The sequence below is a fragment of the Homo sapiens genome, chromosome 11, assembly GCF_000001405.40.
Source record: "Homo sapiens chromosome 11, GRCh38.p14 Primary Assembly".
Taxonomy (NCBI): Eukaryota; Metazoa; Chordata; class Mammalia; order Primates; family Hominidae; genus Homo; species Homo sapiens.
The window spans coordinates 33,152,686-33,180,488 of record NC_000011.10 but is presented as its reverse complement, the minus strand read 5'-3'; the positions used below and the strand labels follow the sequence as shown (position 1 = coordinate 33,180,488).

Below are 27,803 nucleotides of genomic sequence, written 5' to 3'. Positions count from 1 at the left end.
GATACATGAATTTTGCTTTTACTAATGAAAAGCTAATTTTTCAATATTTGTAGGGACATTTTATAGGAACGTTTATTCTTTCACATGAACATTAAAAAACAGCAAAACTGGATTTTCAAATTTCAAAAGCCACATTAACACCACTAATACTTTTTAACATGGAGGTTTTTTTTGGGGGGGGGGGGGTTGAGACGGAGTTTTGCTCTTGTTGCCCAGGCTGGAGTGCAATGGTGCAATCTCGGCTCACCGCAACCTCCACCTCCCAGGTTCAAGCAATTCTCCTGCCTCAAGCTCCAAAGTAGCTGGGACTATAGGTGCGTGCCACCACGCCCAGCTAATTTTGTATTTTTAGTAGAGACGGGGTTTCTCCATGTTGGTCAGGCTGGTCTCGAACTCCCAACCTTAGGTGATCCGCCCACCTCGGCCTCCCAAAGTGCTGGGATTACAGGCGTGAGCCACTGCGCCCAGCTGAAGTTTTTTTTAAGGTGATTTTCTTTTTTTGTAATAATAGGGAATCATTGATTCATTTTTGGTTAATCAATGAGTTATAATCCATTCCTGTTATTTATTTTGATGCTAAGTTTAACCAGTGGGAGTCCCCTTCGAGCTGGCTTCTGTGTCCCCACCAATTTTTCAGCACTTTTTTACTTTCTGCTACAGTAAGATGTTCAAATGTAACTTGACTTTCCTTGCCATAGCCTCAGAATCAACGATTTTGAGGCAGAATAGGGTCTGGAGGCAGGGAATCTAAGGCTGATTCATGCTGATTTCCTAGAACTAAACCAAAGGAAAACCCCAACTTCCTATGCTCGGGTAACAAAAGGACTAGAGGCTACTCCCTTTGCAACCCACCCCTTTTCTGCATGGCAGATGAAAAATTGAAAGTACCTGTGATTGGTCCCCTCCCACAACCAATCAGGCTAGTCATGGGCCAAGTCTTCATTTGCATAGGAGTATAACTTTATAACTTCACTTTAGCCTCTGATTGGTCACTTTCCACAACCAATCGGAAGTCTGCTTAGGGTGTAACTTTGTAATTTCACTTCAGCCTCTTTTTGGTCACTCTGCAATCAATCAGACTGATCACAGGCCACTACTTCATTTACATAGGGTGTATACCAAGTAACCAATGGGAAACCTCTAGAGGGTATTTAAACCACAGAAAATTCTGTAACCAAGCTCTTCAGCCACTTGCTTGGGCTGCTCCCACCCTGTGGAGTGTGAATTCATTTTCAATAAATCTCTCCTTGTGTTATTTCATTCTTTGTGTGATTTGTCCAATTCTTTTGTTTAAAGTACCAAGAACCTGGACACCTTCCACCAGTAACAATTTCTCCAAACAGTTCTTCCTTCTTTTACCTCCTTTGAACCTTAATTCCAGAACAGTCATCACCTCTAGGAGTGATGAATAGAAAACAGGTTTAAATTAGTCTACTAGGGGACTAGAAGAAAAATTACAAGCTATCTTCAGCCTGAAGAGTCCCTGGTTGTATGTGAATCATTAGATACTTCCCTCAAGAAAACCTCAAACATGCATGTTTTCTTCATTCTTTCACTGGAAAAGTAAATGTGTATGTTGATACAATCTCTTTTTTATCTCTATTAGTTCTTTCTCATGCTGTTATAAATAACTGCCCGAGACTGGGTAGTTTATAAAGGAAAGAGGTTTAATTGACTCACAATTCTGCAGGGCTGGGAAGGCCTCGGGAAACTTACAATCATGGTGGAAGGGGAAGCAAACACATGCTTTTTCACATGGCAGCAGGAAGGAGAAGTGCTGAGCAAAAGGGGAAAAGCCCATTATAAACTCATTAGATCTCGTGAGACCTCCCTCACTACCATGAGAATAGCATGGAGGTAACCGCCCCCATGATTCAATTACCTCCCATCAGATCCCTCCCACCACACGTGGGGATTATGGAAACTACAATTCAAGATGAGATTTGGGACACAGCCAAACCATATCAGTATCCTATCAGCTCACATTCTGAGAAAGTGACCCAACACTATAAGGACATTTTGGGCCAGATCCAAAGAAGTCAAATTGTATTTTTTCTAAGAATCACCGTCTTCTAAATTTCCAATTGTTACTAAATTAAGTCAGAGCAGACTACCTGGTCAGACTACCCTATATCTGCCACAGATAATTCCATTTAGGGTTTGAGGACCTATTGATCTCACCTCTTTCAAGTAGCGGGGCAGCCCATGTAGGGAATTTGGTTTAATTCTGAATCAAATGGGAAGTGATTGAAGAGTTTTAAGCAACAGGAATGACGTGATCCAGCATTTTAGCTGGATCGCTCTGACTACTCTAGGGAGAATTGACTGAAGCGATACACATGACAATCATTGGAAAGCACTCTTGATGGCTCACTGCAGGAAGCATAATTGACTGGGATCCCAGATGCGGGGTTTTGAGCCCGTGCTTTCCACTGGCTGCTCTCAGCAGGGATACTAAGGCAGACCCATTTCCAGGAATTGCAGAACTCCTCGACAGGCAACATTTTAGCTCAGGACTCCCTAACAGCTTTGCTGAATTTTTCATAACTGCACAAGTCTAAGAATGTTCCACCCATTGTTCTTTCTCTCCTTCATTTGAGTTGCATCACAGTCTGACAGCTCTCCCAGCTTCTCCTGCTCCCTCCCCATTTTCTCTCACAGGGGTTTCCCACAATAAATTTCTTGTACATTTAATCCTGTCTTGGCATCTGCTTCTCGGAGGACCTGGACTATCATAGAGATCAAAGGCAGAAGCAGGGAGACCAGTTAAAAGGTAATCACAGTAATCCAGGTGAAAGATGATTGTAGCTTGGAGCAGACTGAGGGCAAAAGGAGTGGAGAGAAGCAATCAGATTTCTCCTCCATCCCATATCTTAACAGCAAATCTTCTGAAGATAGAATTTACTAGATTAGCTGTTAAGATATGGGATGGAAGAGAAACTGAGAAGTCAAGGTCACTCCATTGTTTGGACCTACGCAATTGGAAAGATGGAGTTGCCATTTTCTGAGATGGTAAAGCATGGGAAAAGAGCATGTTTGGTGAATCAGATCAAAAGCTTGGTTTTAGACATACCAGTATTAATTTAAAATTTTTTAATTTTTTAATTTTATTTTTAAAGACAGGGTCTCACTCTTTCAGCAAGACTGGAGTGCAGTGGCATGATCATAGCTCACTGCAGTCTTAAACTTCTGGACTCAAAGCAATCCTCCTCCCTCAGCTTCCCAAAGTGCTGGGATTACAGACTGTATCGTTTGAGATACTATTAGATACCCAAGTGGAGATGTCATATAGGCAATTTATTTAATGAGTCTGGAATTCAGAATAGAGGTATTGGCTAACGATACAACTTTGAGAGTTAGTGTATAGCTGGCATTTGAAAGCATGGAACGGAGGCCAGGCATGGTGGTTCACCCCTGTAATCCCAGCACTTTGGGAGGCTGAGCTGGGAGGATCACTTGAGGCCAGGAGTTCGAGACCAGCCTTGGCAACATAGCAAGGCCTCATCTCTACTAAAATAAATAAATAAATAAATAAATAAATAAAGCCATGGAACTGAATGTGATTATCAAGAAAAAGATTGCGATAATGGTCAAGCCAGTGGCTCACACCCGTAATCCCAGCACTTTGGAAGGCCAAGATGAGGAGATTTCTTGAGTCCAGGAGTTTGAGGATGTAGTGAGCTATGATTGTACCACTGCACTCCAGCCTGAGCAACATAACAAGGCCCCATTTCAATTTTTTTTAAATTTAAAAAACAGTTCTAAACTGAGACCTGGGGAATTCTAAATTTGGGAGATGAGTATTCATCAAAAGAGACAAAGAAAGATCATAAAAGTTAGAACTGTCATAACTTCCTGGTGAAATTAACCTTTTAACATGGGGTAATCTCCTTCATGAGTAATACTCTTTTATCTTAAAGTCTATTCTGCGTGACATTAAAACAGCTACCTCAGGGTCTTTTTCTTAATAGATGCCAATACATTTTTCCCATAATTTGACTCCCAATTTTTCTATGTCTTTTTGTTTTAGATATGATCACTCATAGAAGTTAAGTTGCTTTTAAAAAATATGTTTTACAGGTGAGGCATGGTGGCTCACGCCTGTAATCCAGCACTTTGGGAGGCTGAGGTGGGCGGATCACCTGAGGTCAGGAGTTCGAGACCAGCCTGACCAACATGGAGAAACCCTGTCTCTACTAAAAATACAAAATTAGCCGGGTGTGGTGGTGCATGCCTGTTATCCCAGCTACTTGGGAGGCTGAGGCAGGAAAATCGCTTGAACCCAGGAGGCAGAAGTTGCGGTGAGCCAAAATCATGCCATTGCACTCCAGCCTGGGCAACAAGAGCAAAACTCTGTCTCAAAAAACAAAACAAAACAAAAAATTTGTTTTGCTTGAACCATCTCATGTGAAAAAAAGAAAAACAATGTTTTGACAATTTTGGTCTTTTAAGTAAAGGGGTTGAAAAACTTACATTTATAGTGATTAGTGATTTATTTGGATTTTACTTGACAAGTTTATTTTGTGTTTTCTGTCATTTTTGTTTTTGTTTTACATTCCTCTTTCTTCCTTTATTTTTGATTTGTTGAAATTTGTTTTTTTCATTCTATTTCGTTCCTTCTCCTTAATTTTCATTTCATACTGTTCTCTTGACTTACATTTTCTTTATCTCTTCTTTTGATGATTGCCCTATTTTAACATATCCTCTCAACAAAGTCAAGAATGAACCAATATATTTATTCTCCTAAACAATATGAGAACCTTACAACGCTTTAACTTTGATCTCTGAAATGCCAATTACAATGTTACTGTGCCCAGTATTTTAGTTTCGGACTTTCCTCCCGAAGTCAAATATTATTTTATAGAATGTTTCTTTAGATTTAGTCACACATTCATCAATATTATTGCTCACAAGCCCTGCTTATATATTAAGACTTTCCATATGGAATCATTTTCCCACTACTTGAGAAAGAATCTTTTAGAATTTCCATTAATGAGGGACTTGTATTGATAAACTATCCCGCTTTTTTTTTTTTTTTTTGGCTTTTTCATATTCTTGAAAACTAGCTTCACTGGTTATAAAATTTTAGGATGATAGTTATTTCCTCTCAGGCCATGGAAGACATTATTTCAGTGTCTTCTGGCTTCCATTGTTGGAAGCCATTGGTGAGACAGAGTTAAACCACATTATCACTGCTTTGTAAGTGGTTTCTCTTTTTTCTCTAGCTTATTTTAAGTCCTCTTTTTCTTTGGTGTTCTGCAGTTTTACATTAATGTATCTAAAAGTACATTGGGCTTTCTCAATCCAAAGATTGATATTTATCATTAAAACTGGAAAATTGGCCAGGCATGGTGACTCATGCCTGTAATTGCAGTACTTTAGGAGGCCAAGGTGGGCGGATCACCTGAGATCAGGAGTTCAAGACCAGCCTGGACAACATTAAACCCCATCTCTACAAAAATACAAAAAATTATCTGGGCCTGGTGGTGAACGTCTGTAGTCCCAGCTACACACAAACACAAAAACAAAAAATAAACCTGGAAAATTTTCAGCCATTGTATTTTTGGAATATTCCTCTTCTTAATTCCATTATCTGTTTCTGAAATTCTAATCAGATGCATGTGCGCGCGCGCGCGTGTGTGTGTGTGTGTGTATTTTTAAGAAATGGAGTTTTGCTATATTGCCCAAGCTGGCCTTGAACTCCTGGGTGCAAGCAATTCTCCTGCCTCAGCCTCCCTACTAGCTGGAATTACAAATGTGTTCCACTGCACCCAGCTTAGACGTATTTTTGCTTTTTACTCTATCCTCCAAATTTCTTATCCTCTCTTTCATAGTTTCCACCATTTTTACTTTCCGGATGACATTCTGAGTTTCTTTAGATCTGTCTTCTAGTTTCTCGTTAATCTCTTTAAATGCAACAATTGGCCAGGCCTGGTGGCTCACACCTGTCATCCCAGCATTTTGGGAGGCTGATGTGGGAGAATCTCTTGAGGCCAGGAGTTTGAGACCAGCTTGGGCAACATGGCAAAACCCTATCTTTACAAAAAAACACAAAAATTAGCCAGGCGTGGTGGTGCGTGCCTGCAGTCCCAGCTACTTGGGAGGCTGAGGCAGGAGGATTGCTTGAGTGAGGGAGATCAAGGCTACGGTGAGCCATGTTTGCACGACTGTACTCCAGCCTGGGTGACAAAGCAAGACCCTGTCTCAAAAAATAAAAATATAAATAAATGAATACAACAATTATAGTTGCCTTATACTCAGTGTGTAACTTCCCTGAAATTTAAATCCTGAGCAGATCACCTCAATCAACTGATCAAGCTCAGCACTGACATTAAGTGTCTCATGATGTGATGCAATATAAAGTATACAATATCACCTCTCAAGTGTTATTACCAACCCTCCAGGGCTACCTTTCATCTTAAAAGAAACAGGAATGGAGGTATAAATTAAATGACACCCTGAGGAAATAAAAAAGACAAATCCAGAATGTAAAACAACTGGCCTGCCTTTTTCAACAAGTCATATATCATGAAGAAAAAAAAAGTGTGAAAATTGATTGGATTTTTGTTCAAACAAATAAAACCCATCTTACCAGGGCAATTGGCAAAATTTGAATATGAGCTGCAGATTAGATGATATTATGAAATTATAGCTAATTTTCTTTAGATGACAATGTATTGTGGTTTTGTAAAAGATTGTCCTAATTCTTAGGAGACCTGTACTAAGATATTTAGAGCTAAGGTATCAGAATGTCATCAACTTATTTTCAAGAAGATTAACAAAAAATGAAATGTATATGTACACACATAGAGAGTAAGAGGAAATATAGCAAAATGTTAACAAGTATTAAACTAGGTAGAGGCTATATCGGTATTGTACTATTCTGTTAACTTTTCTATGTGTTTGTTTGACATTTGTATAATAAAAAAACCTTGGAGAGAAAAAACAATTCTGTACACAAGGGTCAAAATGACATTAATAGAGATTATTCGCTCTGGCAACAATACCCTAAAGAGACAATCTAAAAATTCTATTTTGCCATCTCCAAAGCTGTCCTGGTCTTCTCAATGTTTCTTTGGACTTTTCTTGGATTCATGTGACCTCCCCTATAGCTCTTCCTATTTAAGTTAGCCAGAGTAGGCTTCTGATACTTGCACCAAGGAAACCTTATTGATAGAGAGGTTATGCTACCTATCCTCCATTTGCTCACCACAGCCATGCTGCAAAGCCCTCGCTGACCTCTATGGATTGCATTATTCTGGCTCCCTGGCCCTCCCAGCTTCTGTCTGGGAGGTTGGGCAATGGCTGCATTCCTCTACCCAGGGGCACAGCTTCTGCTGAGTATTCTTCCCCATAGCCATAGTTCCTGCCAGATCCTAGTATTGGATCCTTCCTCTCTTTTGGCTGACGATGCCAGTCCTATGTGCTTCACAAACTATGATGTTCTTTTAACACCTGCCCACACTTTTATTCATATCTGCCTTATGTTAAACTTCCTTCAGTTAACTCTTTTTTTCTATATTTTTTATTGTGGCAAAAACACATAACATTAAAAACACTAAGCATTTTCAAGTGTACAGTTCAGTACTGTTAAGTATATTCACATTGTTGTGAAATAAATCTCTAGAACTTTTTCATCTTGCAAAACTGAAACTCTATACCCATTGAACAGTATTTATCCCTTCCTCTATCCATCAATACCCTTGGCAACTACCTTTCTACTTTCTGTTTCTGTGATTTTGACTACTTTAGATACTTCATATAAATAGAAGTGTACAGTATTTGTCTTTTTGTGAATGATTTATTTCATTTAGCCTAATGTTCTTAAGATTTATCCATGTGATAGCATATGACAGAAATCCTTTCTTTGTTAAGGCTGCGTAATATTCTCCATTCATCTGTCAATGGATGTTTTGGTTCTTTGGTTTATTTATTTATTTATTTATTTATTTATTTATTTATTTTGAGACCCTGTCTTACTCTGTTGCCCAGTTTGGAGTGCAGTAGCACGATCTTGGTTCACTGCAACCTCTGCCTCCCAGGCTCAGGCAATTCTCCTGCCTCAGCCACCTGAGCAGCTGGAATTACAGGCGTGCACCACCATGCCCGGCTATTTTTTGTATTTTTATTAGAGACGGGGTTTCACCATGTTGGCCAGGCTGATCTCGAGCTCCTGACCTCAAGTGATCCACCAGCCTCAGCCTCCCAAAGTGCTGGAATTACAGGTATGAGCCACCATGCCTGGCCAGTATTTTTAAATTTATACACGGTAAAATTCATTATTTTCTCGTGTATAGCTCTATGAGTTTAACAAATGCATAGAATTTTGTATTTTTTGTTTTGTTTTGTTTTTGGTGTGTATTTTTAGTAGAAATGGGGTTTTGCCATGTTGCCCAGGCTGGTCTTGAACTCCTGAGCTCAGGCAATCCACCCACCTCGGCCTCCAAAGTGCTAAGATTACAGGCATGAGCCACTGCGCCTGGCCAGAATTTTGGAAATGCCCCACAGTGAAGACACATATACCACCCAAAAACATTCTCATATTGCCCCTTCATAGTAAAACACTTCTTCTATACTTACCTCAGCAACCACTCATCTAGTCTCCAACCCTACAATTTTTCTTTTTCCAGGATGTCATATAAATGGAATAAACTAGTATGTAGTCTTTTGAGTCTGGCTTCTTTTACTAAGCATAATGCATTTGGGATTCATCTATACTATTCCACATATAATAGTTATTCCTTTTAATGGCTGAATAGTATTTCATTATATAGATACCATAATTCATTTATCCAACATTAATTGAAAGACATTTGATTTATTTTCCAGTTTTTAGAGATTATAAATAAAGCTGCTATGCACATTTGTGTATGGGTTTTAATATGAACACACATTTTTATTCATCTTGGAAAAATACATGAGTGGGATTGATGGGTCATATGGTAAGTATACGTTTAATCTTGTAAGAGACTGACAAACTGTTTTCCAAAGTGTCCAGGGCTGGTCCAAAGGTAGTGTGTTATCTCAATTGATTGTTCACAGTCAGTTACAGATTGAACTCCTTGTTCTCTTTCCCTCCTTCTCACTGCTGCACTTGACTAGTCTTCAAAACAACAAAGTGTCCAGGACACTGGATAGTGTGGCACTGTTTTGATAAGTCTTGAAACTAGGTAGTGTAAGACCTCCAATTTTGTTCTTCTTTTCCCATATGGATTTTAGAATAAGCTCATCAATATCCTTAAAAAAAATCTGCGGGTATTTTGATTGTAATTGCTTTGAAACTATAGATCAATTTGGGGACAATTGACAGCTTCGTATTTTAAAAATCTAACATTGTTGGCAAACTTACTGCTGCATCCTAATGTTTTTATAGTTGCACCCTAATGTTTAAATACCTTCATGAAAGAGAAGTCTAGAATTTATTTATTTATTTATTTATTTTTGAGGCAGAGTCTTGCTCTGTTGCCAGGCTGGAGTGCAATGCGCAATCTCAGCTCACTGCAACCTCCACTTCTCAGGTTCAAGTGATTCTCCCGCCTCAGCCTCCTGAGTAGCTGGGACTACAGGCTCATGCCACCACGCCCAACTAATTTTTGTATTTTTAGTTGAGACGGAGTTTCACCATGTTGGCCAGGATGGTCTCGATCTCTTGACCTCATGATCTGCCCTCCTTGGCCTCCCAAAGTGCTGGGATTACAGGCGTGAGCCACTGCGCCCGGCCGAATTTATTTATTTTTTAAAGGAATTTAGTAACTAGGCATTTAAATCTACACCGAGTTTCTGGAAGGCAGAGGCTGTATGCCACTTATATTTGAATCACAGTGTACAAAAGATTCAAGATACAGAGCAGGACCTCAATAATGGCTTGCAGATTAAATATTTAAACATGAGGCTTTTAAATAATTCTACTTACGTTTTCAGACATGATGAAGAATAGGGCATATGGAACTTTCATGAGGCAAGAAGAAGAAACAACTACTTTTCCTTTCTAAAAAGAGCTATGGTAATGGTCCCTGGTGCAAGTAGGAGTAAGAAGACAGCATAAACGGTCCCCAAACTTGTCACTCACAAGACTTAGATTCCCAAAATGTGAAGGCAAATTATTTTATAGGTGAGGATCATACAGTGACACAATGTGACTAATTTCTTGTATGTCAATATATACCTACACAAAAATTTGAGTCCAAAACAAAAAACTTCTAATACAGCAGGTTATGTTTGTTGGTTTTTGTCATGTATAAAAATTGTACATTCTTTTATTTGACTTCCTTAGTGAATTTCTTTTTAGGATTTCCCTTTAAGAGAAAAATCATTACTCAATTAGTTTGCTGAAAAGCCTACATTTTGGTTTATTATTTTATTTATTTATTTTTTGAAACAGAGTCTTGCTATGTCATCCCGGCTGGAGTGCAATGGCACGATCTCGGCTCACTGCAAACTCCGCCTCCTGGGTTCAAGCAATTCTCCTGCCTCAGCCTCCCGAGTAGTTGGGATTACAGGCGCCCACTACCATGCCCAGCTAATTTTTGTATTTTTAGTAGAGATGGGTTTTTGCCATATTGGTTAGGCTGGTCTCGAACTCCTGACCTCAGGTGATCCTCCCACCTCGACCTCCCAAAGTGCTGGGATCACAGGCGTGAGCCACTGTGTCCGACAGGTTTATTGTTGAATAATACTACAGTGATCGTCATCAACCAATTTTCACGTAGTTGTATTTCCAAGTTAGATGCTAAGGAATATATTACATCCTTTCCAACACATAGATGGCATCAAATTATTTTACTAGTGATTATGTGACCAAGGTAGCCAAAGGAGTAAAAATTATTATTTTTTCTTCACTGCTGTAGGATTTGATGTGCTTCAAGCAATTTTTTTTCTTTTTTCTTTTTTTTTTTTGAGACAGAGTCTCGCTCTTGTCACCCAGGCTGGAGTGCAGTGGCACGATCTGGGCTCACTGCAACCTCTGCCTCCTGGGTTCAAACCATTCTCCTGCCTCAGCCTCCCGAGTAGCTAGGATTACAGGCAACCGACACCACGCCCGGCTAAATTTTGTATTTTTAGTAGAGATGGGGTTTTGCCATGTTGGCCAGGCTGGTCTCCATCTGTTGACCTCGTGATGGTCTGTATACATAGGCAGTGCCTATGTATGCAGACTACTGTATATGACTGCTAACTAGGTCTAGACGAAAATATGAGTCTATAAATTCTTTGTTAATTGGACATTTTAAATTATTTTTCCAATTACAGTGGTGGATTTGCACAGATTATTTTATTCTCTTTTTAGGCCCCATTTTGCTCAAGAAAAGACCCTTGTCAAGCAGTTGGCTGGGGTCAGGGGTGCATGTTATGATTAAGGAAACTAGTAGAGATAAATGAGCCACACCGGGATTAAAAACTATGACCTCATTGACAAAGAGTTCCAACTAACCAGCACAGAGATAATAAATATATACTTCTTGGAACTTTGCTTGCTCTCTTTTCCACAAGTGTTTTCTCTTTGGTCGTTGAAGTATGAAGACATTTTATTCTCTCTAAACTTCCAGCAGAACTCTTCGTGCCAGAGATAGCACATTCCATCCTCTGTGTACTATTAGTAGTAAACAATAAAATGACCATCATAGAGTCTAAGTGTTTTTTGCCTCATAAAAGGAATTTAGAGGAGTCTTTGGACGAAAGTCACCATACTGAGTATAGAAGTAGTATTGTATTACTGTGCAGAGTATTATCACACCAAAGATTATGAGGCACACACACTTTACTGAGAGGCCTTTGTGGGTCAAGTTCATGTAGTGAAAACAGACATGGCATTTTAAATTATGTAAATTTATGGAATTATAGATTTTTCTCTTAGAAAATGAATAAATCCTTTATATAATTCCCAGGATAAAGAATAATAATGAAACTTGTGGAAGGAAAGTTCTAACATATTCATTACTTTTAAACAACACCAAGTTGTTTTCAGAGTTGGTAAAAATTTCTGTTTTTAAAAATTACTTCTGGTTTTAAAAATTACTTCTATTTCAAATGAATCATTAGGTGAACAGGCCCACATAAAAGGTGAGTGAACATAGAAAAAGAAGAGGAAAGAGGACATGAATTGATAATTTGTCAAAATGTGGTTGTGTGACACTTTGGGTTCCAAAGAACAAACGTTCATTCAGTCTTAGGGAAAAAGGGTTCGACCGTAAGGACATATATGGTTTAAAATTACAAGCCATTTCACAGCCAAGGCAATTCTAGGACTGACTACACCAGTGTCCACATATTCTCTCTCTCCTTTGAGCATTAATCTTTTAAGTACGTTAGACTGTTAATTCATCAGTGTGGAGTGCATCTACTGGGTAGATTCTGACTCAAGTGTCCACCCTAGACAGAGGTATTTAGCTTCTTCTCTTAGGAGGACAATAGGAGGCAGAAGAGTCTATGTCATACTAGTTAGCATAGGTCCCACATCTTTTAAAAGCAAAAATAGGCCGGGGTAGGGTGGCTCACGCCTGTAGTCCAAGCACTTTGGGAGGCCAAGGCAGGAGGATCCCTTGATAGAGCTCAGGAGTTCAAAACTGCAGTGAGCTATGATCGTGCCACTGCATTCCACCCTGGGCAACAGAGTGAGACTCCTGTCTCTAAATAAATAAAATGAAACCCCAAATAGCCCTCCACATTAATAAAAATTATATATGCCTAATATTCACTACAATGGACAAAAGTGTATGCATGTAATTGAAGACAAAAAGGGACTATGAGAAATAAAAAATAGTTTTTCAAAGTGGTGAGATTATGATTAGCTTTTTTCTCTGTTTTTTCCAATGTTGTTTTAATATTTTGATGATTTAAGAAAGCTTTAAAAACATTTAGAATAATGAAGATAATTTAGCAATGCTCATGCTTTTCAACCGATTATCTCCAGTTATTTTATTTTTCAAATAATTTTAAACTCAAGCAATAGAGTCAATTAAATTTAGGAAATGTGTGTAAGATGTGTTTAACCAACATTCTAATTGAAGATGAGTCAATAGTCATTCCAGTCAGTTTCCTCATGTTACAGAGGGAATTCATTATTTGGAAGTGCTATACATACTTTAAAAATAAAATCCCAGATATATTTGTGTCCCTCTCACACAAGCTGTTAAAATATTTGCCCGTCCCTCTATATAGCTGTAGTCACAGGCATGTTAACGTTTTCTGTAAAATAGATCAAAATATAAAGAAACATTAGGAAAATACAGCTGTTAGAAAGAGGAGGGGAGAGTACACAATGTATTTATAGCAAGTGTATATATTATATCAAGTAGAACAGACACCCAGCCTTTTATGAGCAGTTTTAACTCTGACATGCATGAGTTTTAAATAAGAAATAACTATAGAAATCTCCAAAGAATTTTAAAAATCCCAGGCCGAGCATGGTAGCTCACGCCTGTAATCCCAGCACTTTGGGAGGCCGAGGCGGGTGGATCATGAGGTCAGGAGTTCGAGACCAGCCTGGCCAATATGGTGAAATCCCGTCTGTACTAAAAATATAAAAATTAGCTGGGCGTGGTGGCATGAGCCTGTAGTTCCAGCTGCTCGGTAGGCTGAGGCAGGAGAATCGCTTGAACCCGGGAGGTGGAGGTGGCAGAGAGCCAAGATCACACCATTGCACTCCAAGCTGGGCGACAGAGTGAGACTCTGTCTCAAAAAAAAAAAAATAAAAATAAAAATAAAAATTCCATCAGTTGGTTATGAGCTTTTTGCTTTATTATAAGTGATGTTTAATTGATTTTTGTTTTCAGATTCCAAAGAAAATTCCAAAACTAGTTTTCATAGCCAGCAGATACATTTCTAAGTGCTTGGGATGATGAATCACATAAAATATGTATTTTTGAGAGTGTTTAATTACAATGATTGTTCACCAATTAAATAATTTCCATTTATGTTTCTAATAAAACTCTCAGGTAAATTATAAGAAGTTAGTTTCTTAATCATATGATAAATGGACCGTATTCTAAAATTCTGATTAATATTTCTGAAGGATTCATGATAAGGAAGCAATGTTCTTACCAAGTTTGTTTAATTGTTAGATGGAAATTGTATTTGTCTGCCACCTGGGGGATTCATGGAAACATTGCAATTGACAAAATTCATAGTCACAAAAATATTGCAATATATGTGTTAATAGTGTTGTATTTGTTTTATGAATGATGTTGGCTGACACACACACACACACACACACACACACACACACACATAATTGTGGGCAAAAAAGTAGTTGCAAAACCAATAGACTTGTGTTCTGGATGTCGAGTGAAGAAAATGTTTCCAGGCCGGACACAGTGGCTCATAGCTATAATCCCAGCACTTTGGAAGGCTGAGGCAACAGGATCACTTGAGGCCAGGAGTTCAAGATCAGCCTGGGCAACAAAGCGAGACCCTCATCTCTACAAAAAAACTTAAAAATTAGCTGGGCACAGCAGTGCATGCCTGTAGTCCTAGTCACTTGGGAGGCTGAGGCAGGGGGATTGCTTGAGCTTGAGGCCACAGGGAGCCATGATTTGTGCCACTGCACTCCAGCCTGAGTGAAAGCAAGACCTTGTTTTATTTATTTATTTTTATTTTCACTGTTAAGACTTTGTTGTGTGTGTGTGTGTTTTTAAAAAAAGGTTCCAAAAGAAGGGAGTGATCAACTTCATCAAATACTGCTGGTAGAATCCCATAAGATAAAGAGGACTAAAACTGACCAGTGCATTTGGCAATTGGGAAGTCATAGGTGACCAGGAAAAGAGCTGTTCCTGGATGTTTTATAGTTGTTATTGCTATTGTGAGGAAATCTTTCTATTTATGATTTTTTTCTTTTTTTTTTTTTTTTGAGATGGAGTCTCACTCAGTCTCCCAGGCTGGAGTGCAGTGGCGAGATCTCAGCTCACTGCAAGCTCCACCTCCCGGGTTCACGCCATTCTCCTGCCTCAGCCTCCCCAATAGCTGGGACTACAGGCGCCCCCCCCACCACGCCCAGCTAATTTTTTTTTTTGTATTTTTTAGTAGAGATGGGGTTTCACCGTGTTAGCCAGGATGGTCTCGATTTCCTGACCTTGTGATCCACCCACCTCAGCCTCCCAAAGTGCTGGGATTACAGGCGTGAGCCACCGTGGCTGGCCTACTTATGATTTTTTTCTAATCATCAATTTACATTTTTTGAAACAGGGTCTCTCTCTGTTGCCCAGGCTGGAGTGCAGTGGTGTGATCATAGCTCACTGCAACTTTTAACTCCTGGGCTCAAGCAATCCTCCCATTTCCCAAGCAGCTGGGACCACAGGCATGCGACACCAAAATCAGCTAATTTTTAAAATTTTTTGTAGAGGGGTCATGCGATGTTGCCCAGGTTGGTCCCAAACTTTTGTGCTCAAGTGATCTTCCCCTCTTGGCCTCCCAAAGTGCTGGGATTACAAGCGTGAGCTACCACACTCAGCCCCCTTATATCTTATGTGAATATGGAAGAGAATGTCATTATTCACAGAAAATACAAATTGACCATTTTGGGATTGTCACAATGTCTGTAATTTATTTTCATATTATTCTGTGAACAAAACCTCAAACTGTAATACTAAAAGACTCTAGGCAGAAAAATAAAAATAAAAAATAATCTGGCTCCCCCTGCCAAAAAAAAAACTATGTACGTAAATACATACATATAAAGCAAACACACTAAAATGTTAATCAAGGTGGTAGTTATACAGGTATTCATTGCATTATTATTTAAACTTTTATCTCTATATTTGTTAAAAACACTGGAAAAAATGAGGGCCAGGCGCCATAGCTTACACCTGTAATCCCAACACCTTGGGAGGCCAAGGCAGACGGATTGCTTGAGTCCAGGAGTTCAAGACCAGCCTGGGCAACATGGTGAAACCCTGTCTCTACTAAAAATACAAAAATTAGCCAGGCATGGTGGCAGGCGCCCATAATCCTAACTACTCAGAAGGCTGAGGTAGGAGAATCGCTTGAACCTGAGAGGCAGAGGTTGCAGTGAGCCAAGACCGTGCCACTGCACTCCAGCCTGGGCGACAGAGGGGGACCCTGTCAAAACAAAACAACAAACTGGAAAAAATGGCATTTGAGACAAACTTTGAAAGAGTATGAATACTGTTTTAAGACTTTGTTGTTCTTACATCAGTTCAATAAAGAAAAATCAGAAAACAGATAAAAAGAGTAAATTTATGTGACACACAATGTAGATATAACCACTTTTAATTTTTTTAAGCTATATACAGGTTGAGGCTGGATGTGGTGGCTCACGCCTGTAATCCCAGCACTTTGGGAGGCCAAGGCCAGTGGATCACCTGAGGTCAGGAGTTCAAGACCAGCCTGACCAATATGGTGAAATCCTGTCTCGACTAAAAATACAAAAATTAGCCCGGTGTGGTGGTGGGAGCCTGTAATCCCAGCTACTAAGGAGGCTGAGGCACGAGAATCACTTGAACCCAGGAGGCAGAGCTTGCAGTGAGCCGAGATCGCACCACTGCACTCCAGCCTGGGTGAAAGGGCGAGACTCAGTGTCAAAAAAAAAAAAAAAAAAAAAAAAAAAAAAAATATATATATATATATATATATATATATATATATATATATATATATATATTTATAACAGGTTGAGTATCCCTAATTCAAAAATCTGGGCCAGGCGCGTTAGCTCACGCCTGTCATCCCAATCCTTGGGGAGGCCGAGTTGGGTGGATCACTTGAGGCCAGGAGTTCAGACCAGCTTGGCCAACATGGTGAAACCCCTTCTTTACTAAAAATACAAAAAAATTAGCCAGGGCGGTGGCAGGCGCCTGTAGTCCCAGGTACTTGGGAGGCTGAGGCAGGAGAGTGGAGTGAACCCAGGAGGCGGAGCTTGGGAGCTTGCAGTGAGCCGAGATTGTGCCACTGCACTCCAGCCTGGGCGACAGAGCGAGACTCCGTCTCAAAAAAAAAAAAAGAAAAAGAAAAAATACAAAAATTAGCCGGGCGTGGTGGCGCACGCCTGTAATCCCAGCTACTCAGGAGGCTGAGGCAGGAGAATCGCTTGAACCTGGGAGGTGTAGGGTGCAGTGAGCCGAGATCGCACCACTGCACTCCGGCCTGGGCGACAGAGCAAGACTCTGCCTCAAGAGAAAAAAAAAAAAAAACCTAAATGTTCCAAAACTCAAAACGCTCCAAAATCTAACTTTTTAAGCACTGACATGACTCTCAAAGGAAATGCTCATTGGAGTATTTCAGATTTTGGATTTTCAGATTAGGATGCTAAAGTGGTAAGTATATATACGTAAAACACTTTCATATTCTGCTTTTCTTCATTTAATACGGTGGTTGCCTTTCTGTCAGTCATCGTACATTAGCATCAGTTTGCTGTGTGATATTCCATTGCAGAGATAAATCTTGTGATATTTTTAACCAGTCCTCCATTGCTGGATGGTGCAATGAACATCTGTTAATACATATCTTTTGCTCATGTGTCTGATTATTTTAAGGGTAAGATTTCAGCCTGTGGAAAGGGAGTAAGTGTAAGTTTGAGCAGAGGAAAGGAGACCTAAAAGAATAAGGCGAGTCTGGGAACAGTTCACTAGGTTATTTTAGGGCATTGGACCCCCGTAGGCGAGAAATGCTTGCAGACATCTAACGATGACGCTTAAATGGAAGAGCAGTTTGAGAAGATTTAGTATCATTTAATTTTTTATTTTTTATTTTTTTTGAGACGGAGTCTCGCTCTGTAGTCCAGGCTGGAATCTCGGCTCACTGCAACCTCCGCCTCGCGGGTTCAAGCGATTCTCCTGCTTAAGCTTCCCGAGTAACTGGGACTACAGGCGCAAACCACCACGCCCGGCTACTTTTTTTGTATTTTTGGTAGAGACGAGATTTCACCAAGTTGGCCAGGTTGGTCCTGAATTCCTGACTTTATTTATTTATTTTCTGAGACGGAGTCTCGCTCTGCCGCCCAGGCTGGAGTGCAGTGGCGCGATCTCGGCTCACTGCAAGCTCCGCCTCCCAGGTTCACGCCAGTCTCCTGCCTCAGCATCCGGAGTAGCTGGGACTACAGGCGCCCGCCACCACGCCCGGCTAATTTTTTTTTGTGTGTGTGTGTATTTTTAGTAGAGACGGGGTTTTACCGTATTAGCCAGGATGGTCTCATCTCCTGACCTTGTGATCCGCCCGCCTCAGCCTCCCAAAGTGCTGCGATTACAGGCGTGAGCCACCGCACCTGGCCTAGAACTCCTGACTTTAAATGATCCATCCGTTTTGGCCTCCCAAACTGCTGGGATTACAGGCGTGGGCCACCGCGCCCAGTCAATCTCATTTAATCTTAATGCCAGGTACTGTTCTAACACTTTTCTATGTATAATTTATTTCACTTGCAGGTACTATTATTATTCCCATCTATAGGCCAGAAAGCTGAGGTACGAAGTTTAATTACCAGAGTTACTTATCTTCGTTAAAATCCAAGCAGTCTGGGCTACAAACAATTATACCTACTTTGCAGTCAAGGAACCAAGCTGAGATGTTGAGCTGAAAACCCAGGTCTCAGACTTCAAAGCTTTCTACACAAGAGTCGACGGTGGCAGTAAAAATTAATGGGGGCTTGATCTATCCCTCCCACCCCCAAGAAAAGTAAAAAGCAGGAGCTGGGACCAGAGAAAACCTCCACGGAGTCCTTATCCCCTAAATATAAGAGGCATTTAACGTTTAGCATTGCTGACCTGCAATCAGGCTTCAACTGTGAGTAGCCAGGCTCTAAAGCTTGATAACTGAATTCCAAAAAGCGCGCGAGCCTCCAGGCGAAACAGCTTCCCGCCTTCCAGCCGGTTGGAGCCGGCTCAGCAACAGCCTCTCCAAGCCAGGGTAGTGACGTCAGCCCAGGAATTGGGCCCGCCCCGGGATCTCGCTGCTTTCTGCACGCTCGGAATAACCAGAGTCGCGAAATTAGCCCCGCCCACTGCCCCGGAAGTTAATGCGGAAGCCACACACCTCCTCCTCGGCCGGCAGGGGCGCAGCCATTTTAATTCATATTTGAGTGGGCGGTGGCGATTGGTGTTGGCGGTCTGGCTCAGCTGGGCAGGGGGTAACTTTACTGATTTGGGGGTGGTTTTTAGTTTAATTTTTCTTTTCTAGCTTCCCATCGACGGTCAGTGCGCACGTTGTAATCAGCTGAGGCCATGTCAGGAGACGGAGCCACGGAGCAGGTGAGGAAGGAGAGTGGTGGGGCCTCGTGGCGACCTCTTCTCCACGTCTGTTCCTCCGACTGCTCCAGACATGTTCGGCTGAGGAAGGAATTGGGTCTAGTGAACCCGGGGGACAGGGTATATAGAAGAGTGGTGGGAATGGGGAGCAAGATCTAAGATTTAATTTTTTTTTTTTTACTTCTCTCTCTTAGGCATGAATACGAGTAAATACTTGATTTAGACAATAGCGGTAGGCTGCTTCGTCCTATTTAGATTCATGGGACTACTCCAGATGGGATGCTTTCCTTTGATATCGTTTTGGTATTAGAGTGGATAGGAATTATTTTAACGTGCACCCGACGTTTTAGAAAAACTTGACAGTGTTTCTTTTACCCCGCCAAATATACTGTACCCAGAAATAGGTTACTAGTTTGAGAAATATTTGAGACAAAGCTAATCTGGAGAATTAAGACTTAATGAGAGCGAGTGAAGAAAGAAGCAAGTTATGCTGAGGTTTTGGGAATTTTGTGGCTTTCTTTCGTTTTCTTTTCTTTTAGCCACATTTCGTTTTCATTTTTCCAGCTACATAAACATTGCAGGTATAAGTTGAAAATGAGAAGTCTGTTTTGGCCACTGTAAATAAAAGCATCTGTTTTAATAGTAAATATGAGTGACAACTAAATATTTTAAAATTCACACTTTTAGGTTAGATCAGTGTGATTTGTTTCTTTTGCTCTTTGTATTCAGAATTTTGTAGGATAGTATTTACCTTTTAGTGTGAAAGAGGAAGCTAAATAGTTATGAAAAATGCCATTAAATGTGTTTTTCGATCTAAGTCCTGGTGTGTTTAGATAAATACAGTTTCTAAAATGGAGGCTAGGTAGCCTGCAGTCTCAATTTCCTGAAATTTCCCATTGCCATAGCAACGACATGCACTTAGGTTTTCGTTTTTCAGGTTCCCTAGCTTATAACGTGGAAGATGTTATTGGAGGTTGGCAGAGATGAGGCAAAATAGGAGCGTTCTATTGCATAGTCTGTAAGACTGTAGATTTCATTATGTCGGCAGTTTGATTAAATTGTTTTGTGTTTGCCCGAGGACTGGTTTCAGTCCAGAAATCTTCGCACTATTTACATTTTACATAGTGTTAGCATGCCCAAGCATGCAAAGTCTTAAAATTACTGTATCAAAACTGTTTACCCCTTTTCTGATCTAGTATTTGTTATCTGAAAGTGAAGGACTAATGAACTGAGGTTTCATTGAAAGTTTTCGAAATTCATTGTTAATTCTTAGAATTTATCTAAAATTACAAAGACACGGAAATGTTACCATGACCTCTTGAATGTTTTAGAACTGTGGTGTTTCAGTGGGACAGATGGTGGTGAAAATTTATAGAAAAATAATTTCTCCCAAAGGTTTTATTGTGCAAAGTTTAGAACATAGAGAAAAGTTGAAAGAAAAGTGCAGTGAACACCTGTAGGACAACTCTTCGCCTGGAATCAACAGCTGAAAGCCTTGCCATATTTGCTTTATCTCCCCATGCTGATAGATTGAGAACAGAGTCTTTGTCACTCACACTAGAGTGCTGTGACGCCATCACAGCTCACCATAGCTTCGACCTCCCTGCGCTCTGTGATCCTGCCACCTCAGCCTCCTCCGTAGCTGGGAGTACAGGCGCGCGCCACCATGCCCAGCTAATTTTTTTTTTTTTTTTTTTTTTTTTTTTGAGATGGAGCCTTGCTCTGTCGCCCAGACTGGAGTGCAGTGGCGCGATTTCGCCTTACTGCAGCCTCCGCCTCCCGGTTCAAGCGATTCTCCTGCCTCAGCCACCCCAGTAGCTGGGATTACAGGCGCCCACCACCATGCCCCGCTAATTTTTGTATTTTAAGTAGAGACGGGGATTTTGCCACGTTGCCCAGGCTGGTCTCGAACTCCTGACCTCAAGTGATCCGCCTACCTCTGCCTTCCAAAGTGCTGGATTTACAGGCGTGAGCCACCGTACCTGGCCTAATTTTTGTATTTTTTTTGTAGAGACAGGAATTCACCATGTTGCCCAGCCTGGTCTGGAACTCCTGGGCTCAAGCGATTCACCCACCTCAGTGTCCCCAAGTGTTGGGATTACAGACAGGCACGAGCCACCACGCCTGGTCCACGCATGTTTATTTGAAAGTATTTTGACACATTGCAGCCCCAAGTATTTCAGCATTCTCTTATAAATAAGAGCAAAATGTTGTTACATAACCACCATACCATTTCCCCACCCAAGAAAATAGTATTTCTAAAATCTAGTTCTTTAAATTTCCCCATTTGTCCCAAGAATGTGATTTTTTTTTTAACCAGAATCAATCTAGATTTACATATTGAATCATTTACTTCTGTCTCTTAAGTAGTCTCACCATTCTTCTCCCCTGGGGCTGTTGTCTATTCGAAGTGTCAAGGACACTTAACACTGCTTTTCTGGGTGTATTTGTTTTTTGTTGTTTGTTTGCTTGCTTGCTTTTGGTTTGGGGGTTGATGATGTCATTTAACTTGTCCCTTCATCTGTATTTCCTGAAAACTTTACAGTTAGGTCTATACTCAGCCTTGATATTTGGGTTAAGTATTTTTGGATAGAATACTTAACATTATATCATTACATTAGCAGGTACTTCTGCTGGGTTCTGTTAGGATGGTTAAGTTTGATCACTTGGTTTAGGGTGATCTCATTGTTAAGGGTCATGTTCCCCTTTGCAGTTAATAATCTGTGAGTTGATAACCGTTTTCTTTAAAATCACCTTATACCTAGTTATCAATTGATAAATCTTGACTAAATCAGCTCTTACATTGGAAGTAGCAAATGGTGGTTTTGTTTTGTTTTTAAAACCCACAATTCTGTTGGTCTGTGTCTGTTTACTGGCTCATACTTTCTGCAAAAAAGACTTTTTTTCTTCCTAAAGATTAAGTATCGCTATGGATTCATGGATTTCTCTTAGTGTGTTAGTATCAGTGATAGCCATTTTTCTTTTGCACACTCAACTTGTCCAAACCTTTTTGGTGGTTCTTATATCTTTTCCTTAAGTCTGAAAGGCAATTTAGACATCTGATTATCAACAAGGAAGTCATCTTCATATAGCCTTTTCTTTAACTTTTTAATAATACATTTCAAACATGTAAGAAAAACAGTATAATATATGAAGTACCTGTCATAGAGCTTCAATTTATGGCTAATCTTGTTTCCTCCATGACTTCATTTGCTTCTCTCACCCCCATTACTTCGAAGCAAATCCTAGATACTGTATTCAGCTTCAACTAAAATAACCATTAAATAACACCTTAAGGATGGAAAATATGAATGAGCTGTACCTTGCTTGATATTTAAGACAATATTGAAAATCTGGAGGAAAAGAGAGTATCCAAAATAACCTGAAATCATGGATGAGAAAAATAAACTCAATGAGACTAAAGAATAATAAGAAAAAAATTAAAACCATTGAATCATGGATTTGCTTTGGAAAAATGCCAAGGGATGGGGTGGACAAAGAGTCCTACAAGATGCAGGTGTAGATTTAGCCTTTTAGTAGCATTGAAGTTCAAGTTTGTAGAATAAACCTGATACTATCTTAAATTTATTACTAAAATATATGGATAGTCATTTTTCTCTTGGTGCTAAGATTTGTGATTTGTGCCCCCTAACAGAGGGAAATTATTGCAGACAAGCAAAATCACTGCTAAAGGTTTATTGCTGTGATTTTTTTTTCAACTCTAGTAGGGAAGTTCAATTTTGCATGTAGAGAGCTATTGGAATTACCTTATAGTGTTCAAGGATCTCTTCTGAAGCTCCTTGCTTATTGTTTTTGCCAGTTTAATGGTGAAAAAACTATTTGCATATAGGTTTACCCCCCTAACAAACATATGATTTCTGTGTGGAATTATGGCTGTATTATTTATTTCATGGTTTTGTTTTTTTGTGTTTGTTTTTTGTTTTTTTGAGATGGAGTCTTGCTCTGTTGCCCAGGCTGGAGTGCAGTGGCACGGTCTCGGCTCACTGCAACCTCCGCCTCCCAGGTTCAAGCAATTCTCCTGCCTCAGCCTCTTGAGTAGCTGGGATTACAAGCACACGCCACAATGCCCGGCTAATTTTTTTGTATTTTTAGTAGAAATGGTGTTTCACCATGTTGACCAGGCTGGTCTTGAACTCCTGACCTCAAGTGATCTGCCTGCCTCAGCCTCCCAAAGTGCTGGGATTACAGGCGTGAGCCACTGCGCCCAGCCTGTGGTGTTTGTTTTTTTTAATGCCTGATTCAACTTTTGATCTCATTCTTAGGTCTATTTAACCTTGTGCACTACTCTTAAGGCATTTAATATGCTGTTATTTAGACATTTTCCATTGGGTTTTGAACTTCTTTAGTTGAAGAGATGATGTTATTCATCTTTATGTCTTAAAGACCTAAGAAATAATATTTTGATGCTTAAAGGTATTCAGTAAATGAATGGATTAAGTTTGCATCTTTTAAAAAAAATTATTTATTTACTATTTAGGTAGAGACGAGGTCTCACTGTGTTTCCCAGGCTGGTCTTGAACTCCTGGACTTAAGTGATCCTCCTGCCTCAGCCTTCCAAACTGTTGGATTACAGGTGTGAGTCCAGCCATATTTCACCTTTTAAATAATGTATAACTTATCCTAGAATTTGGAAGGCCTAAAATACAAGCCAAATGATCCTCAGCTTGGAAAAGCTACATGATTCTAAGAAGCGCAAATTAATTGCTGGTAGTTCTTAACAAAGGAGCATTTAGGCTCATAAATACGTGTTTTTAGTGAAAAATAATTTTGGGAAGATTTAGAAAATAATGAAGAGTATGTGTCCTATTATATACTTATTATTAATAAGGAAAGAAAAAGTTGAAACACCCACAGCATTGAAACCTGAAACCTGGTTTATTTCGTTAGGTAAACATTAGTACTTAAGCTGTTTAGAAGTAACAGTATCGCCAATTTTAGTCAAGGTGCATATATGTGTAGGGGTTAGAAGAGGCAGAGAAAGAGCCAACTATGTGTGTTGGACAATGTGTTTTTTTGGATTTATTTTTTCCAAAATCTTTCTGTAACAGCCCTTCCTAGTTTTCTGCCTCCTATTTTTAGTGATGCTTGTTTGGTGTAACAGTTTTGGGCAGGCAAATTGATTTGATCTTTATTGTTGATATTTCTTAGGAAACTGGAGCATTATCAAATATTCTGTTTGGGGACAGTTGTTCCTAAGAGAAGTTGCTCTGTGCTTAAAGAATGAGAATTGGGTTTTTCTTAGAGATACAGCAGAAAGGTACTGTGTTAGGTGATACTGCATTCCTTCAACATTATTTCAGGGAATGTAGGCATTTACATCCCAGATAGACCTTCAGAAGGGCAAAATCTGTATTTGGGTGTTTTTACCTATTGGACAATTACCCATACCAATTCATGATTTTAAGCTTTTTTTTTTAAATCTTCGATTTGGTGACGGTGATTTTAAGCTTTTCTACCATGTCTCTGAATCTTTCTCTTTAGATAGGACCTACCTGTGAATTTGAGTCTTTTTGTTTTGTTTTGTTGGACAGTTGGTAATGGTGTGAGAATTGGGCTAAAAAAGGGATTTGAGTTGGCAGTTGTTTAAACTATCTTTAGATTAATGGACAACTTAGGATACATAGTAAATATTGAATAAAATCAGAAGGGCAAAGCTTCTGTGTGTCCTAATTAATGTTTTTCTAATGTTTGACTTAGTTTATTTAGTGTATTAAATCTGGATTATTCATATTTGAAAGAAGTCTCATCTTTTAAGTTCCAAACGGTTAAGATTTTAATTTATATTTTGTAGCTATTTGTTTCCTAGGGGATGAATATGCAAGTTTACTAAGCAGATAATGGTAAATATAATTATTTGAACTAATATGTTAAGCCAAGATCTTTTTTTTTTTTTTAATTTTTTTATTTTTATTTTTTCGAGACAGAGTCTTGCACTTTCGCCCAGGCTGGAGCACAGTGGCGCAATCACGGCTCGCTGCAAGCTCCGCTTCCTGGGTTCACGCTATTCTCCTACCTCAGCCTCCCTAGTAGCGGGGACTATAGGTGCCCGCCACCACGCCCTCACGCCCAGCTAATTTTTTATATTTTTAATAGAGATGGGGTTTCACTGTGTTAGCCAGGATGGTCTTGATCTCCTGACCTCATGATCCGCCCGCCTTGGCCTTCCAAAGCGCTGGGATTACAGGTGTGAGCCACCATGCCCGGCCCAAGATCTTTTTTTTTTTAAGTTTTTGAGTTGTTTGTATGTTTAGATTTTTAATCTATGGATGATTTGGAGGGATTAGTTTTGTATTGTAGGATACATGTTCAGTTTCATTCACAACAAACATGAAGTAGGGTTTGGTTGCATTGGTAAAGGAACACAGAACTAAGCTGACATCTGGTCCTAATATCCGGTCTCATTGTGACACCTGTCACATATAGTTCTTTATTATCTGGGCATATGAATGGAATCAGTTAGGTTACTCCTCTATGAAAGTCTCAGCACGGCACCGTGGCTCACGCCTGTCTGTAATCCCAGCACTTCGGGAGGCTGAGGCTGGCGGATCACTTGGTCAGGAGTTTGAGACCAGCCTGGCTAGTATGGTGAAACTCCGTCTCTACTAAAAATACAAAAATTAGCTGAGTGTGGTGGTGCATACCTGTAATCCCAGCTACTTGGGAGGCTGAGGCAGGATAATCACTTGAACCCGGGAGTCGGAGGTTGCAGTGAGCCAAGGTACAGCCACTGCACTCCAGCCTAGGTGACAGAGTGAGACTTCATCTCAAAAAAAAAAAAAAAAAAAAAAAGAAAGTCTTACGGAGTGCTACTCCGGTCTACTTTTAATTTTGAAAAAAAGTTAACCACAGAGAGAGACTTAAGACTTCAAATATATAGTATATTCAGTTTTCTTAATATTTTAGCAAAAAATTCACTTGGAATGACAGGTTTGTTGCCACCTTATTTTTAATGAAACGTGACATTTGGAAAACATTTGTGGAACAGATAGATGAGGTGGTACATATTTCTTAAAGTGGAGCCCATGGCCCATTTATGTCATAATTAGGTGCGTTATAAAAGTATAGATACGTAGACTCTGATTTCAAACCTAACTGTTCAGTGGGGCTGAGAATCTTCGTTTGAAACAGGTACCACAGTGGTTTTTATGTCAATAAAAGCTTGCAGACCACAGAGTTAGATGATAGCTGGTTGTTTTAAAATATATTCTTGATAAATAAGTGGATGAAAAAATGGCAGATATTTGAGGATGGTATTTTACTGATTTTTCCTGCCCACCTGCTCCCCACCCCCATATATTTAGTTATTACCCTGAATAGCGAGAAATACTCATTATAAAACCAGGGTTGAGGCTCAACTCTGCTTTTTCTGTTGGTCATAGTAAAAAGCTTACATCGTCTTAAATCTTTCAGTCTACCATCTTTCTCCCCCTCTATTCATACTTTTGTGTTATCACTTTAACTGATCCCTACTTTAACTTAATTTCAGTATGGCTCCTAATATAACACCCTTCTAATTTATCATGAAAGTAGCTATTTGGAGAAAGAGAATTATCTTTTTTTTTTTTTTTGTCTGTTTTACCTGCATGGTCGAAATGGAAGAAATTAGATTATTATTATTATTGTTATTATTACTATTTTTTTTAGAGATGAGATCTTGCTCTGTTGCCCAGGCTGCAGTGCATTGGCGTGGTCATAGCTCACCACAGCCTCAACGTCCTGGCCTCAAGGACTCCTCCCACCTCAGCCTCCCAAAGTGCTGAGATTACAGTTGTGACCCACTGTGCCCAGCCTTAAATTATATTATTTCAGTCATTAACATGATAGTGTCTGTCACCTCTTCACATCCCACCTTCCCATTAACAACCTCCTAATAAAAGTTATGAGCTCATATAGAAAGAAAGTGGTTAGGAGTTTCAATAAAGCATAACTCATAGGGCTTTCCAGAGGCTACATCACCTATCCACAATTGTATGTAAAGGCTGTTAAAAATGGTCTTTCCTCCCTTTTCCAACTACGTAACTGTGAGGCTAAAATTTTTTCATATTTTTCATCTAAAACAATATATTGTAACAGATTGAAAGAAGCAGATAATGTCTTCTATTCAGCCAGACATTTAAAAGATCATGAAAATGTAAAATGGTGCCATTCTTTTGACTTTTTTTTTTATTTTGGAAAATTTCCTTCAGTAAAATATTTATATTCATATTTAAGGAATTTATTATTTTTAAGTGAATTAAATACTTTAATTTTTTGTTTTAATTTCTTATGTGAGTAATGATAGAATCCCTCTGGGCTCCTCAATTATTATTGTTATTTTTTTTTTTGGAGGCGGAGTCTCACTCTTGCTCAGGCTGGAGTGCAGTGGTGCGATCCCAGCTCACTGCAACCTCCACCTCCCGGGTTCAAGCGATTCTCCTGCCTCACCTTCCCAAGTAGCTAGGACTACAGGCATGTGCCCACACCCAGCTAATTTTTTGTATTTTTAGTAGAGACAGGGTTTCACCAAATTGGCCAGGCTGGTCTCGAACTCCTGACCTTGTGATCCGCCCACCTCGGCCTCCCAAAGTGCTGAGATTACAGGCGTGAGTCACCGCG

The 27,803-nt window shown here is 39.8% G+C and overlaps 1 protein-coding gene and 1 long non-coding RNA gene across 4 annotated transcripts in view, besides 3 other annotated features; one reads left to right on the top strand and one right to left on the bottom strand.

Annotated features, from left to right (window-relative positions):
* CSTF3-DT (CSTF3 divergent transcript) overlaps positions 1–18,832 on the bottom strand; it is a 29,942-nt gene extending 11,110 nt beyond the window's left edge. Inside the window, exon 1 of the long non-coding RNA NR_034027.1 lies at positions 18,708–18,832. This is a non-coding gene — a long non-coding RNA (CSTF3 divergent transcript). The remainder of the gene's footprint in view (positions 1–18,707) is intronic.
* Positions 2,213–2,835: an enhancer, noted in NCBI's record as "OCT4-NANOG hESC enhancer chr11:33199200-33199822 (GRCh37/hg19 assembly coordinates)". NCBI's record gives its function as "activates a minimal SCP1, AML or CMV promoter by ChIP-STARR-seq in naive and primed H9 embryonic stem cells {active_cell/tissue: H9 hESC(naive and primed)}" and the evidence as "EXISTENCE:reporter gene assay evidence [ECO:0000049][PMID:30033119]".
* Positions 18,625–19,044: an enhancer, noted in NCBI's record as "active region_4574". NCBI's record gives its function as "activates an Ori minimal core promoter by ATAC-STARR-seq in GM12878 lymphoblastoid cells {active_cell/tissue: GM12878}" and the evidence as "EXISTENCE:reporter gene assay evidence [ECO:0000049][PMID:35858748]".
* CSTF3 (cleavage stimulation factor subunit 3) overlaps positions 19,009–27,803 on the top strand; it is a 76,897-nt gene continuing 68,102 nt past the window's right edge. For all 3 annotated transcript variants that reach the window (NM_001326.3, NM_001033505.2, NM_001033506.2), the window contains exon 1: positions 19,009–19,190. In NM_001326.3, the coding sequence (NP_001317.1) occupies positions 19,164–19,190 (27 nt within the window). In that variant the 5' untranslated portion in view covers positions 19,009–19,163. The remainder of the gene's footprint in view (positions 19,191–27,803) is intronic.
* Positions 19,780–20,647: an enhancer, noted in NCBI's record as "H3K27ac hESC enhancer chr11:33181388-33182255 (GRCh37/hg19 assembly coordinates)". NCBI's record gives its function as "activates a minimal SCP1, AML or CMV promoter by ChIP-STARR-seq in naive H9 embryonic stem cells {active_cell/tissue: H9 hESC(naive)}" and the evidence as "EXISTENCE:reporter gene assay evidence [ECO:0000049][PMID:30033119]".